The sequence below is a fragment of the Homo sapiens genome, chromosome 3, assembly GCF_000001405.40.
Source record: "Homo sapiens chromosome 3, GRCh38.p14 Primary Assembly".
Taxonomy (NCBI): domain Eukaryota; kingdom Metazoa; phylum Chordata; class Mammalia; order Primates; family Hominidae; genus Homo; species Homo sapiens.
In genome coordinates this window covers 64,971,124-64,987,686 of record NC_000003.12, presented here as the reverse complement: position 1 = coordinate 64,987,686, position 16,563 = coordinate 64,971,124, and the positions used below count along the sequence as shown (strand labels likewise).

General features: G+C 40.8%; 2 long non-coding RNA genes across 6 annotated transcripts in view; one reads left to right on the top strand and one right to left on the bottom strand.

Moving 5' to 3' along the window:
* ADAMTS9-AS2 (ADAMTS9 antisense RNA 2) overlaps window positions 1-16,563 on the bottom strand; it is a 326,599-nt gene that overhangs the window by 23,782 nt on the left and 286,254 nt on the right. The gene's annotated exons all lie outside the window — the stretch shown is intronic.
* Window positions 11,439-16,563, top strand: part of LOC105377124 (uncharacterized) — a 99,923-nt gene continuing 94,798 nt past the window's right edge. For all 5 annotated transcript variants that reach the window (XR_007095948.1, XR_007095946.1, XR_001740437.2 and 2 more), the window contains exon 1: window positions 11,439-11,584. This is a non-coding gene — a long non-coding RNA (uncharacterized LOC105377124). The remainder of the gene's footprint in view (window positions 11,585-16,563) is intronic.

Here is a 16,563-nt window from a genome sequence, read left to right as displayed (position 1 = left end):
ACTGCCTGCAACCATGTAAAGGACTCTAAGGGAGAAGTACCTAGCCGAGCCTATCAACTCCCTGAACCATACAAGATCAATTGTTTTGAGCCACTAAATATTGGGGTAATTTTTTTTTTTGAGACATTGTCTCACTCTCTCGCCCATACAAGATCAATTGTTTTAAGCCAGTAAATATTGGGGTAATTTTTTTTTTTTTGAGACGTTGTCTCACTCTGTCGCCCAGGTTGGACTGCAGTGGCGTGATCTTGGCTTACTGCAAGCTCCGCCTCCCGGGTTCAAGCCATTTTCCCACCTCAGCCTCCCGAGTACCTGGGACTACAGGTACATGCCACCACGCCTGGCTAATTTTTTGAATTTTTAGTAGAGATGGGGTTTCACCGTGTTAGCCACGATGGTGTCGATCTCCTGACCTCGTGATCCACCCGCCTCCGCCTCCCAAAGTGCTGGGATTACAGGCGTGAGCCACCGTGCCCTGCCCAGAGTTTTATTATTACTCAAATCAGTTTCCCTGAGCATTTGAGCAGCAGAGGTTTTGTGTGTTCTGTTTTTTGTTTTTGTTTTTTTTTTTTTTGAGATGGAGTCTCGCTCTGTCGCCCAGGCTGGAGTGCAGTGGCGCAATCTCAGCTCACTGCAAGCTCTACCTCCGAGGTTCACACAATTCTCCTGCCTCAGCCTCCCCAGTAGCTGGGACTACAGGCGCCCGCCACCACACCCGGCTAATTTTTTTGTATTTTTAGTAGAGACGGGGTTTCATGGTGTTAGCCAAGATGGTCTCGATCTCCTGACCTCGTGATCCTCCCGCCTTGGCCTCCCAAAGTGCTGGGATTACAGGCGTGAACCACCCCACCTGGCTGGTAATTTTTATGCCTCAATAGAAAACAAGAATATTTGTTATTTCATTTTCACTAAATCTCTGTAAGATAGGGCTATCATTATGCTTATTTTACAGATGAGGAAACAGAGATTAAGTGATTTCCTCCAGTCCGATTAAATTATAATAGAGCTGATATTTGAACTCCAGCCTATGTGATTCCAAAGCCTGCAGGTGTTTAGCAGGCATGGTGCAGTAATTTTGATCCTTCTTTTAACAGATATAAAAGCAGTATTGGTTTGTGCTCATAGGATATTTGCAGCCTGCTAAGATAAAAATGACAATAATGACAGCAAAGGAGGGAATATTTGGTGAATTTGTTTGATTTTACAAAAATAAACTATGTTCCTATTCTAAGACTGAATGTAGTGAGGGAGGCTTCTGTGAAAATTTGGAAAGTGTGAGGGAGGCGGTAAGGGAGAGTTCATATACCATGCTAGTTTGTCTCCTAAGCCCCATGTGCCTTTTCTTATAAATCAAAGTGCTCCCATCAGTCAATGGGGATTTTGATACTTAAGGTAATATCAACAATCCGGATCTTTCTTTAGTCCAAGCATTTTAGGGCTGTCTTTAGTGACTAGCAATGTTTGGTAGCTCTAGATTTAGAGTGTCACTGAATTCAATTAAGAAAGAAGATGCAAGAGGCCCAGGAAAAGATCACTTCAGGTTTAGTAACAGCTAATAAGTGGGTCTCAATTGGGATGCACATGATAATCACCTGGAGAGCTCTGAAAACTCATGATGCCTTGGCCACACCCCAACAAATTACACGGGAATTTCTGGGAGTGGGATCCAGGCATCAATATTTATTGCAAGGTCCCTAGATGATTCGAATGTGCTGCTGAGGTTGAGGGCCAATGCCCAGTAGACTAGATTTGGGAGCACTGAAAATGCAGTCCTGTAAGACATATGCTCACCAGCCCTCCTCCTTCCTATCTTAGTCTCTTCTCTCTTGGGTCCAGAAGTTGATTCATTTGTTCATGTGACAGTTATTTAGTGAACATCCACTACGTGCTAATTTGGAGTCATAGTGATACCGACATAAAAGATTATAGGAGGAGAAATCAGCCATTTTATGGATAAAGATAAGTTGAATTTTGGTCTTGTTGTGTTTGAGGTGCTGTGGGACCTCCTGGTAGAGAGATTCAGAGAGTACAGATGTCTAAAGCTTAGAGTGAATGAACTGGACTGCAGTTCAGGGTGAATGAAAATCCTAAGCATGAATATGGTTGGTTTTGGATGCCACTGGATATATCCCACTCCTGTGAGGAGTAGTTGCTCAGTATGGGTAGGGGTCCCACCACTAGGGCAGTGTGAAAAAAAAATCACATCTATGGGGAAGATGGGTGATGCATGCCATAGAACTTGAAAGAACTCTTCCAGGCAGTTCTCGTGTGTGTCCCCAAGAACAGTACCAACTCTGCTCCTCCCCCTCCAAAAACTCAAGTAAAATGTAACTGAAAACCATTGCATTAGAATATAGGCCATGATTCATGTGACTGGTACGGTCTTTGAGTAGATATTTTCCCACTGTTAAAGTTATTTAAGATATTATCTCTTCCACTACCTTTTTTATGGTCTGCAAAGACCTATGCAAACTGGTTCTCAGCTACCACAGGATGTCATTTCCTTCTGTGCTTTACTCCTCACTCATTCCCTTTGCTACAGCCACCCTGACCTTTCTATGTGTCTTTTGAATTTACAAGGCTCATTCCTATTTGGGGACATTGGCACTTATTACTCTTACTGTTTAAGATTTTGCTCCCCCAGATCTTCCTGTAGCTCCTCCTGTCTTAGAATTAGGGTGTCACCCCCAAACCCAGATATCACCTTCTTAGAGAGGCTATGTCTACATACTATACTGACACCCTATTTTGCCTTCTTTATAGCTTCATATTTATACCTAAAACCTTTTTAAAAATTATCATTTTGTTTGTAGTATTGTTAGTTCTACAAGGACAAGACTTGTGAATTTCTAATTTCTAGTCCCAAATTAGTACATAGCAGATGACTATTGAGTAACTGTTGAGTGAGTGAATGTATGAGTGAGTGAATGAGTGAGTGAGTGAGTGAATGAATGTATGAGTGAGTGAATGAATAAATGGTCCCCTGACACAGGAGAGGGGACCAAGAAAGGAAGAAGGAGGACTGGTGAGCATGTGTCTTACAGGACTAAATTTCTAGTGCTTCCAAATCTAGTCTACTGGGCAATGGCTCTCAACCTCATTTACACATTAGAATCATCTAGGGACCTTGAAATAAAGTGCTGATACCTGGATCCTACTCCCAAGATTCCAGTGGGTCTCTTGCACTTTCTCACTTAAGTGAATTCTGAGGCTCTAAATCTAGACCACCAAGCAATACTAATCACTGAAGACATCCCCAAAACACTTGGTCTAAAAAGAAAGATCCAGACTACTGCTTTTTATGTTAAATATCAAAGTTCCAATGACCGGTGGGAACTTTTTGGTTTATAAGAAAAGATATACGGAACTTTTGTTAGAGGACAAACATAGGAATGGTAAATGAGACAAATTGAGAATTTTCCACATTAGCATCTGCCTTGGTCATTGAACATTAAAATAGAATAGGGAGAGTAACTTAACAGTCCTCCTGGGAACAGGAGTGGGTTTTGACATTTTGAAGGTCACATCTCTGTCCCCAAGGGAAGCACAGAGGAAAAGGGAATCAGGTTCATTCCCTAAGCCCATCTCTTGGCTTGTATGGGAAAGGTACCAATGGCATTGATGGAGCCTGTGGAGCACCATGCTGATTGAGAAAAATATTAAAGCAGCGAAACTCTCTTTTCAAAGGGAATCAAACTGTAATCCCAATTTCTAAAACTGATCAAAGAGGAGCAGTTCTGTTTGAAATAGAGTTTGTAGCCTGGAGGCCAGCTCAGTCCAGGCTGCGTCACACAATCCCTATCCCCAGGTGGCCCTGTAAGACTGAAGCCTAAGGCTCTGCCAAATGTAATTTGAAAAACACTGTTCCAGACCATGCTTTCAAGAGGAGCAGTTGTACATTTCTCCTGGTTCGGAAAGCCTCCCATCAGAAAAGCTAAACTAATGACTAATAGATAAGGGGTAGTGTGGTTTCTTTGGTATCAGTGTTGATCATGGTATTGAGATTAACCAGGTTGGACCCTTTCTAAGGACATTTCAGTGTACATAAGCATCGTTCCCATAGAGTGTCCCCAGCATCCCTGGGCACATACATTATCAACTTAGCATCCATACAGAAAGAAAGTAAAATGTAGATTCTGATTCAGTGGATCTGGGACAGGGCCCCAGCTCTCCATTTCTGATAAGGTCCCTTGTGCTGCCATTGCTTTGAATACTAGGGTTTCAAACCAGAATTGGTGCATCGGAATCTCTTGCGAGACTTATTAAAAATGCAGATTTTTGGCCCCATCCCAGAGCTTCTGGATCCAGCTCTCTGGTTATGGGTCTGGAGGTTTTTGTTTTTAACAGGCTCCCAGGTTTTTCTGATATTCACTATATTTGACAGCTATACTCTAGCATGTGTTTACTTACATAGCTTACTCTTGAAGAACCCAGGAAGAGAGTCTGAGACTCAACAACTGGCAGTGCTGGAGGGGGGTTTGGAGATCATCTAGCTTACCCTCGTTGATTAGAAAATGGAGGTCCCAAAGGGCAAACAATTCTGCCAAGTGTCTGTCACCAACTGGCTTTACAGCAAGCAGATACCAGAATGAAAGCATCTGACTTTCTAATCCTCAGTTTCCCCTAGAACACAATTGGCCTGCGTTTGTGATTGCTTCTCTATCTGTGCTGCTTATGAGGCCAGAGACCTTGTTTTCTGCTGTATTCCCAAAGTCCAGCACAGTCCCAGGCACAGGGAAGGCACTAAGTAAATATTACTGTTGTGTCCTCCTCCTATGCTTGGGCCTAATCAGTTACTTCCAAAATTTATTATTAAAAGTTCTCAAGTGATAAAAATAAAAATTCTACAGCTCAGGAAAAGCAGGGAAAATTTTTATTTATTTATTTTTTATCTTTTTATTTTTTAAATATCAAAATTTTTTTTATTTTTTAATTTTTTTAAATTTTATTATTATACTTTAAATTTTAGGGTACATGTGCACAATGTGCAGGTTAGTTACATATGTATACATGTGCCGTGCTGGTGTGCTGCACCCATTAACTTGTCATTTAGCATTAGGTATATCTCCTAATGCGATCCCTCCCCCCTCCCCCCACCCCACAACAGTCCCCATAGTGTGATGTTCCCCTTCCTGTGTCCATGTGATCTCATTGTTCAATTCCCACCTATGAGTGAGAACATGCGGTGTTTGGTTTTTTGTCCTTGCGATAGTTTACTGAGAATGATGATTTCCAATTTCATCCATGTCCCTACAAAGGACATGAACTCATCATTTTTTATGGCTGCATAGTATTCCATGGTGTATATGTGCCACATTTTCTTAATCCAGTCTATCATTGTTGGACATTTGGGTTGGTTCCAAGTCTTTGCTATTGTGAATAGTGCCACAGTAAACATACGTGTGCATGTGTCTTTATAGCAGCCTGATTTATAATCCTTTGGGTATATACCCAGTAATGGGATGGCTGGGTCAAATGGTATTTCCAGTTCTAGATCCCTGAGGAATCGCCACACTGACTTCCACAATGTTTGAACTAGTTTACAGTCCCACCAACAGTGTAAAAGTGTTCCTATTTCTCCACATCCTCTCCAGCACCTGTTGTTTCCTGACTTTTTAATGATCGCCATTCTAACTGGTGTGAGATGGTATCTCATTGTGGTTTTGATTTGCATTTCTCTGATGGCCAGTGATGGTGAGCATTTTTTCATGTGTTTTTTGGCTGCACAAATGTCTTCTTTTGAGAAGTGTCTGTTCATGTCCTTTGCCCACTTTTTGATGGGGTTGTTTGTTTTTTTCTTGTAAATTTGTTAGAGTTCATTGTAGATTCTGGATATTAGCGCTTTGTCAGATGAGTAGGTTGCAAAAATTTTCTCCCATTCTGTAGGTTGCCTGTTCACTCTGATGGTAGTTTCTTTTGCTGTGCAGAAGCTCTTTAGTTATTTAGATCCCATTTGTCTGTTTTGGCTTTTGTTGCCATTGCTTTTGGTGTTTTAGACATGAAGTCCTTGCCCATGCCTATGTCCTGAATGGTGTTGCCTAGGTTTTCTTCTAGGGTTTTGATGGTTTTAAGTCTAACATTTAAGTCTTTAATCCATCTTGAATTAATTTTTGTGTAAGATGTGAGGAAGGGATCCAGTTTCAGCTTTCTACATATGGCTAGCCAGTTTTCCCAGCACCATTTATTAAATAGGGAATCCTTTCCCCATTTCTTGTTTTTGTCAGGTTTGTCAAAGATCAGATAGTAGTAGATATGCAGCGTTATTTCTGAGGGCTCTGTTCTGTTCCATTGATCTATATCTCTGTTTTGGTACCAATACCATGCTGTTTTGGTTACTGTAGCCTTGTAGTATAGTTTGAAGTCAGGTAGTGTGATGCCTCCAGCTGTGTTCTTTTGGTTTAGGATTGACTTGGCATTGCTGGCTCTTTTTTGGTTCCATATGAACTTTAAAGTAGTTTTTTCCAATTCTGTGAAGAAAGTCATTGGTAGCTTGATGGGGATGGCATTGAATCTATAAATTACCTTGGGCAGTATGGCCATTTTCATGATATTGATTCTTCCTACCCATGAACATGGAACATTCTTCCATTTGTTTGTATCCTCTTTTATTTCGTTGAGCAGTGGTTTGTAGTTCTCCTTGAAGAGGTCCTTCACATCCCTTGTAAGTTGGATTCCTAGGTATTTTATTCTCTTTGAAGCAATTGTGAATGGGAGTTCACTCATGATTTGGCTCTCTGTTTGTCTGTTATTGGTGTATAAAAATGCTTGTGATTTTTGCACATTGATTTTGTATCCTGAGACTTTGCTGAAGTTGCTTATCAGCTTAAGGAGATTTTGGCCTGAGACGATGGGGTTTTCTAGATATACAATCATGTCATCTGCAAACAGGGACAATTTGACTTCCTCTTTTCCTAATTGAATACCCTTTATTTCCTTTTCCTGCCTAATTGCCCTGGCCAGAACTTCCAACACTATGTTGAATAGGAGTGGTGAGAGAGGGCATCCCTGTCTTGTACCAGTTTACAAAGGGAATGCTTCCAGTTTTTGCCCATTCAGTATGATATTGGCTGTGGGTTTGTCATATATAGCTCTTATTATTTTGAGATACGTCCCATCAATACCTAATTTATTGAGAGTTTTTAGCATGAAGGGCTGTTGAATTTTGTCAAAGGCCTTTTCTGCATCTATTGAGATAATCATGTGGTTTTTGTCTTTGGTTCTGTTTATATGCTGGATTACATTTATTGATTTGCATATATTGAACCAGCCTTGCATCCCAGGGATGAAGCCCACTTGATCATGGTGGATAAGCTTTTTGATGTGCTGCTGGATTCCGTTTGCCAGTATTTTATTGAGGATTTTTGCATCAATGTTCATCAAGGATATTGGTCTAAAATTCTCTTTTTTGGTTGTGTCTCTGCCAGGCTTTGGTATCAGGATGATGCTGGCCTCATAAAATGAGTTAGGGAGGATTCCCTCTTTTTCTATTAATTGGAATAGTTTCAGAAGGAATGGTACCAGTTCCTCCTTGTACCTCTGGTAGAATTCGGCTGTGAATCCATCTGGTCCTGGACTCTTTTTGGTTGGTAAGCTATTGATTATTGCCACAATTTCAGAGCCTGTTATTGGTCTATTCAGAGACTCAACTTCTTCCTGGTTTAGTCTTGGGAGAGTGTATGTGTCGAGGAATTTATCCATTTCTTCTAGATTTTCTAGTTTATTTGCGTAGAGGTGTTTGTAGTATTCTCTGATGGTACTTTGTATTTCTGTGGGATCTGTGGTGATATCCCCTTTATCATTTTTTTTGTGTCTATTTGATTCTTCTCTCTTTTCTTCTTTATTAGTCTTGCTAGCAGTCTATCAGTTTTGTTGATCCTTTCAAAAAACCAGCTCCTGGATTCGTTAATGTTTTGAAGGGTTTTTTGTGTCTCTATTTCCTTCAGCTCTGCTCTGATTTTAGTGATTTCTTGCCTTCTGCTAGCTTTTGAATGTGTTTGCTCTTGCTTTTCTAGTTCTTTTAATTGTGATGTCAGGGTGTCAATTTTGGATCTTTCCTGCTTTCTCTTGTGGGCTTTTAGTGCTATAAATTTCCCTCTACACACTGCTTTGAATGCGTCCCAGAGATTCTGGTATGTTGTGTCTTTGTTCTTGTTGGTTTCAAAGAACATCTTTATTTCTGCCTTCATTTCGTTATGTACCCGTAGTTATTCAGGAGCAGGTTGTTCAGTTTCCATGTAGTTGAGCGGTTTTGAGTGAGTTTCTTAATCCTGAGTTCTAGTTTGATTGCACTGTGGTCTGAGAGACAGTTTGTTATAATTTCTGTTCTTTTACATTTGCTGAGGAGTGCTTTACTTCCAACTGTGTTGTCAGTTTTGGAATAGGTGTGGTGTGGTGCTGAAAAAAATGTATATTCTGTTGATTTGGGGTGGAGAGTTCTGTAGATGTCTATTAGGTCCGCTTGGTGCAGAGCTGAGTTCAATTCCTGAGTATCCTTGTTAACTTTCTGTCTCGCTGATCTGTCTAATGTTGACAGTGGGGTGTTAAAGTCTCCCATTATTATTGTGTGGGAGTCTAAGTCTCTTTGTAGGTCCCTCAGGACTTGCTTTATGAATCTGGGTGCTCCTGTATTGGGTGCATATATATTTAGGATAGTTAGCTCTTCTTGTTGAGTTGATCCCTTTACCATTATGTAATGACCTTTTTTGTCTCTTTTGATCTTTGTTGGTTTAAAGTCTGTTTTATCAGAGACTAGGGTTGCAACCCCAAAGCAGGGAAAATTTTTAAAAATCGTATGGTCCAAAGTAAGAATAGCAAAGTTCTTTTAAGAGTCTGAATATATAATAGTAAGCATTAAGAACATGGTCTATGGGAGGAAGAGGGGATGACTCTAGAATATAACTCTGGCTCCAATATTTGCTAATGTGTAAATTTTGCTCAGCTACTCTGAGTCTTGGTTTTCTCATGTGTAAATTGGAGACATTAGTAGATCCTATGTCATGGGGTTTTATGAATATTTAACTGGTAAATGTAAAATGTTTAACATGGTGCCTCGTACACAGTAAGTGCTTAATCCAGCAATCGTCCTGTTGATCACAAAAGCAAGATAATGGCCAGGTATGGTGGCTTACGCCTGTAATCCCAGCACTTTGAGGGGCTGAGGCAGGCCGATCACCTGAGGTTAGGAGTTCAAGACCAGCCTGGCCAAATGGTGAAACCCTGTCTCTACTGAAAATACAAAAATTAGCCAGGTGTGGTAGTGGGCACCTGTAATCCCAGCTACTTGGTAGGCTGAGGCTGTAGAATCACTTGAACCTAGGAGGCAGAGGTTGCAGTGAGCCGAGATTGTGCCTCTACACTCCAGCCTGGGCAACTGAGCGAGACTCCATCTCCAAAATAATAATAATAATAATAATAATAATAATAATAATAGTAATAATAATAATGATTCCATCAGTTATACCAGAAGCTAAAGTATTATGCTCCCCTTGCCAATTGCCTACTCTTAAGAACTGAAGATAGATCATCTCTGAAGACAAATGTGGCTTGGCACTGCTTCCTACGAGTACCTTTCTAAGGCATAGCATGTCACCTCTACAGGGTCAAGTAGCTACTGAGATGCTGAGGAACCAAGTTACTGAGCTGAGTCACTCCTAAGTGGCCAAGATGGCAGGAGGGCTGAATTCTCCACCTGGGACTCTTTGCAGGGTCCAAACATTGACTAGCTCGCTTAGAGGTGGGGCAAGGGCTCCTTGAGCAATGTGTTTCATTCTTTAGCCAGACAGTATGAGCAAGATATTTTTAGCCCAATTACCAAATGCAGAAATGTGAGTTTGAAATGCATGCCTCAGGAGTTCACTCAGGTAACGAGACTGTGTGATTATGACTCTCAGGACGTGTGTTTCCTTCACATGTCCCGGATTTTCAGAATAGTTCTGATTTTCGAACATTCTGTTCTACCCTTCTATTAGTAAAATTCTGTTTGGGCAGATATCCTAATTCTATAGGGAAGTGGTTGGGAAAATATGGTCACTGTAGACCAAGATAGAGATCCTATTAAAGACTTGGTGGTTGAGGAAAAAGTGCCACATACTATAAATAGGTATGTCTTCCCCTTTACCTCACTGATGAGTCAGAAGTGACAGAAACTAACTCCAACTGGGTTTGGCAAAAAGGGAATTTACCAGCCTTGTGACGGAAAAGTCCAGGGGATGCATGGCTGGCTGGATACAGATTCCCGAACAATGATCCAACCGACCTGCCTCTCTTCACCTCTTCACTCCTTCCTCTGCATTGGTTTCATTCTCAAGCAGATTCCTTTTGGGATGTCCCCAGCAGCCCTGGGGGCATATCCTGCCAGCTTAAGCTTCCACAGAGAATGAAAGTGACTTTCTAAATTACTTCAGCAAAAGCTGAAAAAATTCCCTCTGGCTGGACCTGGGTCATTTGTCCCTCCCACCCCCACCAGTCCAGGGAACAGTTTCTGCAACACCTTAAACACATAACCTAGAAGATTCCTCAAAGGGCAGCAAGGTTTCTCTACCAAAACAGGGACAGCATGAACACTGGGTAGGGAAATGTAATAAATGTTCTTTCATCCTCTCCCTCTGAGTTGGGATTCTGCTTCCCACTATTTCTTTATGCTTAGTTGTCCTAGAATACAGTTCCTTCACATACCATTGTCATCTACCTGCAAGAGATCTGCCTCTTGCCCACAAATGGTATTCATTTGACCTCCCTTTAATTTCTCTGTCTTTGCCACAGGAACCTCAGTGAGGGTTGGTTCTGCCTGTTGACTCTTTCACCCCTTGTGTAAGATGTTCTTTTGCACCTGCTCCTTTTCGCCTTACCAGTATACATAAAAGTTTGTTACTAAACCCCCACAATCCTCTTCTAACAGTGGAAGGAAGGAAGATGTCTGTAGCTGCAGCCAGCTGGGAAGAGCTGCTTTTAGGATTTCACAGGGGAAGAAATAGACACAATTTTGCTACCATATGCAGTATCTGCGGCAAACTACAGAATGGGCCTACAGTTCCTCTTAGCTCACCAGAGCAAGTGCTCCCCAGTGATCTGCCTGGATGCAACTTGCAAATTGTATTGAGAGAGCTAATTAGATCTGAGCTTGCAAACGAGAGCTCTGCTACCCTTGTGTGGAACAATTTGCTTTATTAAATGAGAGGTGATGTGTGTATGTTGTATACTTAGCACGTTAAGATTCACAGTTACACAGATGGCGGAAGAACTCCAAGGTTGCCCAGGGCTTAACATGTAGCTGAATGTCAAAAGGTTTCAACAGGGTTTCAGAGAGCAAAACAGGGATATTTTTGTAAGATATACTTTTCTACCCAGCATAGCACATCAGAGCTTCCTGTGGGATGGATTAAAAAGAGCTAACCTTTATGGACTACTTGTTGTGTCAGATACTAGGCAGAACCCACTCACTTCTCTAAAGCCCTTATAGGGAAGGTACTATTATTATTCCTGTTTTTCAATTAAGGATACTGAGGCACTGTGAGGTTCACTGAAAGCTGGACTGTGAGGAAGATTCGGGCCGTCGGACTCCAGACCCCAAGCTCTAACATACTATGTAGGTCTGATACGATGATCATCTCTAGAGATGATCCATGGTTACCTACCAGTTTTTTTAATTTAATTTTTATTAAATATTTATTGTATGCCTTCTTTAAGATAGATATTAGATGTGTTCAATGGTCTGAAAATTTTTGAGAGGTAAGTCCCAGGTAGCACTTGAGATAAAAAGCAATAACTAAAGTCTATTGAATACTTACCAAGTATCATGCTTGTGGTAAGCACTTTACAGGTTTTCATTCTCTCATGCATTTAATCCTCCTACAATCTTTCTTAGATACGCTCCCCGTTTTAGAATAAGGAAACCAAGGCTCAGAGAGGAGAGAAAACTTGCTAAAGGCGCCCAGTAAGTAAGTGACAGAGCGGGGAGTTGAACCCAAGTATTTTGGCACCATAGCCTTTGCTTTTGACTTCTCTTTCACTCCACACCACACCACACCAACCACATCCTACTGGCCACTGGCAAGGACCAATGATGCCTTGTAGAAACCAATCAGTTTTCCACTCAGTATTCCTCAGTCATCATACAAGAGTATTTTTCCTTTTTTTTTTTTTTTTTTTTTAGTAAGCCGTCACCTAGCAAAGCTTGAAGTGGTAGGTGGTAGGTATTTCATTTTTAAATTCAGTTGCAAAAGGAAAATTTTTTGAAGAATGAGAATTTTATCGCTGAGGAAAGTGACAGAATGCTACACTATCAGTTCATTTAACAAATTTCCTAAGAGGTTGCCAGTGCCAGGCTCTGTGCCAGATGTTGGGATGCATGTTAAGACACAGGCAGTACCACAAGAATGAATACAGTTTGGTGTTGAGTTTTAAAGCAGAGGGAGGGCCAAGGTGCCTTAGGGTCCTGTTCTGAGCTACCCACAACAGCCAGCAAACTGGGTCACCTGCAGCAGGTAATGGAAGGCTTGTTATCTTGTCAAAGGGATCACATTTTTCAAAGTTGCATGCTTAGACTAAGAATAACCCTGGTTGCAAAATTTTAAAAATATAGCCTATCAGAGATTTAAACAAGTAATAGGTTAACTAGGCAGTCGACAGCATTCGTTCATTGCTCCACAATATCACCAGGTCCCTTCCATCCTGTCTACTCTAAATTCAGCTGTTGGTTTTTCCTAGTGATGTGTTTTACCTTATTATCTCAAGATGGGTGCCGTAGCTCCAAACAACATCAAGGTAGGAAATGGGCAACAGAGTGGTATTGAAAAAGATCTTTTCCTATAGAGGCATTCTCCTTTTTATTAACAAAGAAAAAAGCTTTTTGCATCCCAGAAGACTGCCTTCCCATCTCATTGGCCAGAACTAAGTCACACAGCGATGCTTACCTGCAAAGGAGGATGGGAAAGAAGCAAGTGTCCAGCTTTTTTCCAGTCTCTTTTGTGCAGATTGGACAAGGAAGATAGACATGGCTGAGTTATTTAACCAATAGTTTCTGCCACAGTGTGAAAGAATGTGATATATCTGAAACATCTTTAACCACATAATTACAAGTTCTGTGACCACAAAAACATTTAATTGGTCAGTTTATTGGAGTCAATAATGTAGAAGTGGGTCACACGTTGAAGGCTGGGAAATTCTTGCATTGTTGCTCGTGAGTTTTGAAGACTCTCACCAGGGACATTAATGGACGGAATATTGGGAGCTTAGCTCTTCCTGCTGGAGTTGTAAAAGGGCAGAACCGTTTTTCATAACCTAAGACCGAACAGCATCTTCCAAAATTAGCTTCGGACTGGGCAGCAATTTCAGCTAAACTCCATGCAGCTTTTAAAGCTTTGTATTAATTATAGCTTGGGTACTGTGGATAGCGCTGACTTTGTAATTTGTGAAGCTCAGTGCAAAATAAAAATATGGAATCTCTTGTTTAAAAATTATTAAGTATTTAAAGATAGCAAAAGCAAAGTACTAAACTAAACACGGGACCCTGTGCAACTGTAGAGATTGCACATCCACGAAGTTGGGCTGGCAGAGGGCAGCTGGTTCACAGGTGAAGTCTTGACTTGCAGGAATGATAAATTGAAGGGCCTGGTTACAAGTGTGGGGTCTGCTCCTCAAAAGTATGGCATGGTGATTAATAGTTGACGCTTTCCAACAAGCCCACTCTGTATTCTAATTTTGCTACTTAATTGTGCCATGATTTTAGAAACTTGTTTAGTCTTTCGAAAATTGTATTTCCTGGCTGGGTGCAATGGCTCATACCTATAGTTCCAGCACTGTGGAGGCCAAGGCAGGGGGGATCACTTGAGGCCAGGAGTTTCAGAGCAGCCGAGGCAACATAGTGAGATCACAGGTCTACAAAAAAATTTAAAAATTAGCCAGGTGTGGTGGCATACACCTGTAGTTCTTAGCTACTCAGGGGGCTTAGGTGGGAGGATCACTTGAACCCAGGAGTCTGAGCCTGCAGTGAGCTATGATTATGCCACTGCACTCCAGCCCGGGTGACAGACCAAGACCCTGTCTCTTAAAAAAGATTCCATTTCCTCTCTTAAAAAATGGAGTCTTAAAAGATTCCATTGCCTCTTAAAAAAGATTCCAATTCCTCATGGAATTCACCACGGAATGCTTTCTTTGTGTTACAACCCATGGTGCTAGTGTTCTTAGGAACACACTTTGGGAAAGTGTGGTGTTAACACACAAGCAGGGAGTTTATGTCTTAGGAGCTATTTTCTTCAGTCTAGAGTAGACTGGAAGAGTTGATCTAGTTCTTTGCTGTTTGGGTTTTCTTTTTCCTTCTAATCTGTGGTGTAATTTATAAGAAAAGTCTTAGAGAGGCATCAAAATGAAATCTCATTTGATTTTGCACATAAGGAGCTACTTTTTTTGAAAAGAGTAAACTTGAGGAAGTTTGGGGAAATCAAAGACGCAGTCACTCCACCAGTGCACTGATAATATATCTGTATGAAAAATGAAGTTCCTAGACATCAGCTGGGTGTTGCTATGCGTTTAAATGCTTCTTATAGAGTGACATTTAGATAACTGCCTAAAAATTTCACTTTCAAAGTATGATGCTATAAGACTCATCCTAAGATTGAAAGTCCTTTGTGGTTAAAAAAAAAAAAAAAATCACTGCTTTTCTGTGGCTAGCACACACTGAGTAATCAAATGGAGAACTTCATGGAATAAATACAGTGGTTGACTTCTGCTAAAAACATTTTGAAAAGAGGAAATGGAGCCTTTCTACTCTTTGACATACAAAGCACATTGCTGTCTAATGGATTCCACAGCAAAAGCAAAATCCAAACAAAGCAGCATCTTTTTTCTCTAACCTACATGCAATGTAAGTGAGATTCCAAGTATGCAAATGGTGGGAGGAAAGAAATGCATTTTCACTACCCCAGTTATTACATATGGTTGAGAATATGAATAGTAATTGCCCCTGAATTGGAGGATTAACGTGCACTACTTTTTTTCTTCTTTTTAAATATTCGAGTCAGTCTGATTTTTATTTACTATTTCTTTGATTCTTTTTCTGTAAAAAGTAGTATTGCCATTAGAGTAAAAAATATAAGCTCCCTCTATCCAGGCCAGTTGTCTCTTTCTAGATGTCAGTAAGACTGTCTCGTGTCTGTCATAAGCTCAGTTTTTAAAGTAAGCCATGACTTCATTTATTCTTTTAGTCCAAGTGTGAGTAAAATTGGTGACATTTTACAGCAATTTCTGCAAAGCGGGCACTCCAGAACCCCAGTTTTGAATTCTGAGTCTACAGACCTGGACACCCACCCTCCCCCAACACCATCCTTTTGACCGAGCCCTTACTATGAGTTAGTGTATAAGTCTAACTCCCCCACTTCACCGTTAGACAGGTACCTTGTCTTACTTGTCTTTGTGTCCCCCTCCACTCCTCCCCAGGACCTGAGCCAGTGCTCCATCCCAAGTAGACATGAGATGTTTGTTGACTACTTCACTGCTTCTGTAGGGACTGTTCAGGGCACTGTTGAAAGAGTAGGGAAAATGGCTTTAGTGCCACATGTGAGAAAGGAGGCTTGGTTCAATCAGCTGGAACGAAGTAAAGTGGGAGGATAAAGGATGTTTGAAGAACTAGGGGGGAGAGGACACTAGGGAAAAAAATGCAGAGGAGAATTCTGTGATCAGTCTTTGGAGTTCGATTTATCAAGACTGTCAACCTCAAGGCATTTACAGTGATACCATCTCAAAAATCTTAGATTGCACTATCTACTATAGTTGTCAGTAGCCACAATATGGCAATTTAAATAATTAAAACTAAACAAAACAAAAAATTCATTTTCTGAGTCATACTAGCTGCATCCCAAGTGCTCAGTAGCCATGTGTGTCTAGTGACTGCTGTATAGGACAGCACAGATGTAGAACATTTCCATCATCTCAGAAAGCTCTGCTGAACAGCACTGTTCTTAGGGATGATAACATCTCCATTTTGTTTTACCCTTTGTTTATTTATTCTACAAATATTAACTGAGTACCCACTTTGTTCCTGTCACTGCACTGAGAAGCAGCTGAAATGCTTACAAGCATAGACCCTGGAGCAACCTGGGTTAGCAGCTCGCTCACTGAGTGATGCTGGGCCGGGTCACCCATCCTCCCAGTGCTCTAGTTTAATCAGCTGTAAAATGAAGATAATAAAAGTATCTACCTCATAGGATTGTTGTGAAGATTAAATGAGTGTGTGCTTTTGCATGAATGTGCACATGAGTGTATATGTATATAAATGTATACACATGTGTATATGTGTATGCATATTTTTGTGTAAATATGTGTATGCATATACATATATATTCATATATATTTTAGAACATTTCTTGAAAATACTTACTGCTTGGTAAGTGGGAGCTCTTACTATTTGTAAGTGTTTATTTCAGGGTTCTTAACAAAACAACTATGAGGTTCTTGCTGTCCTGGAGTTTACCATCTAGTAGGAACAGCAGAGAATAAATCATTAAACAAATAATAATTACAAACCATGTCAAGAATTGTAAAGGAAATGAATGGGCTGAAACAACAGAG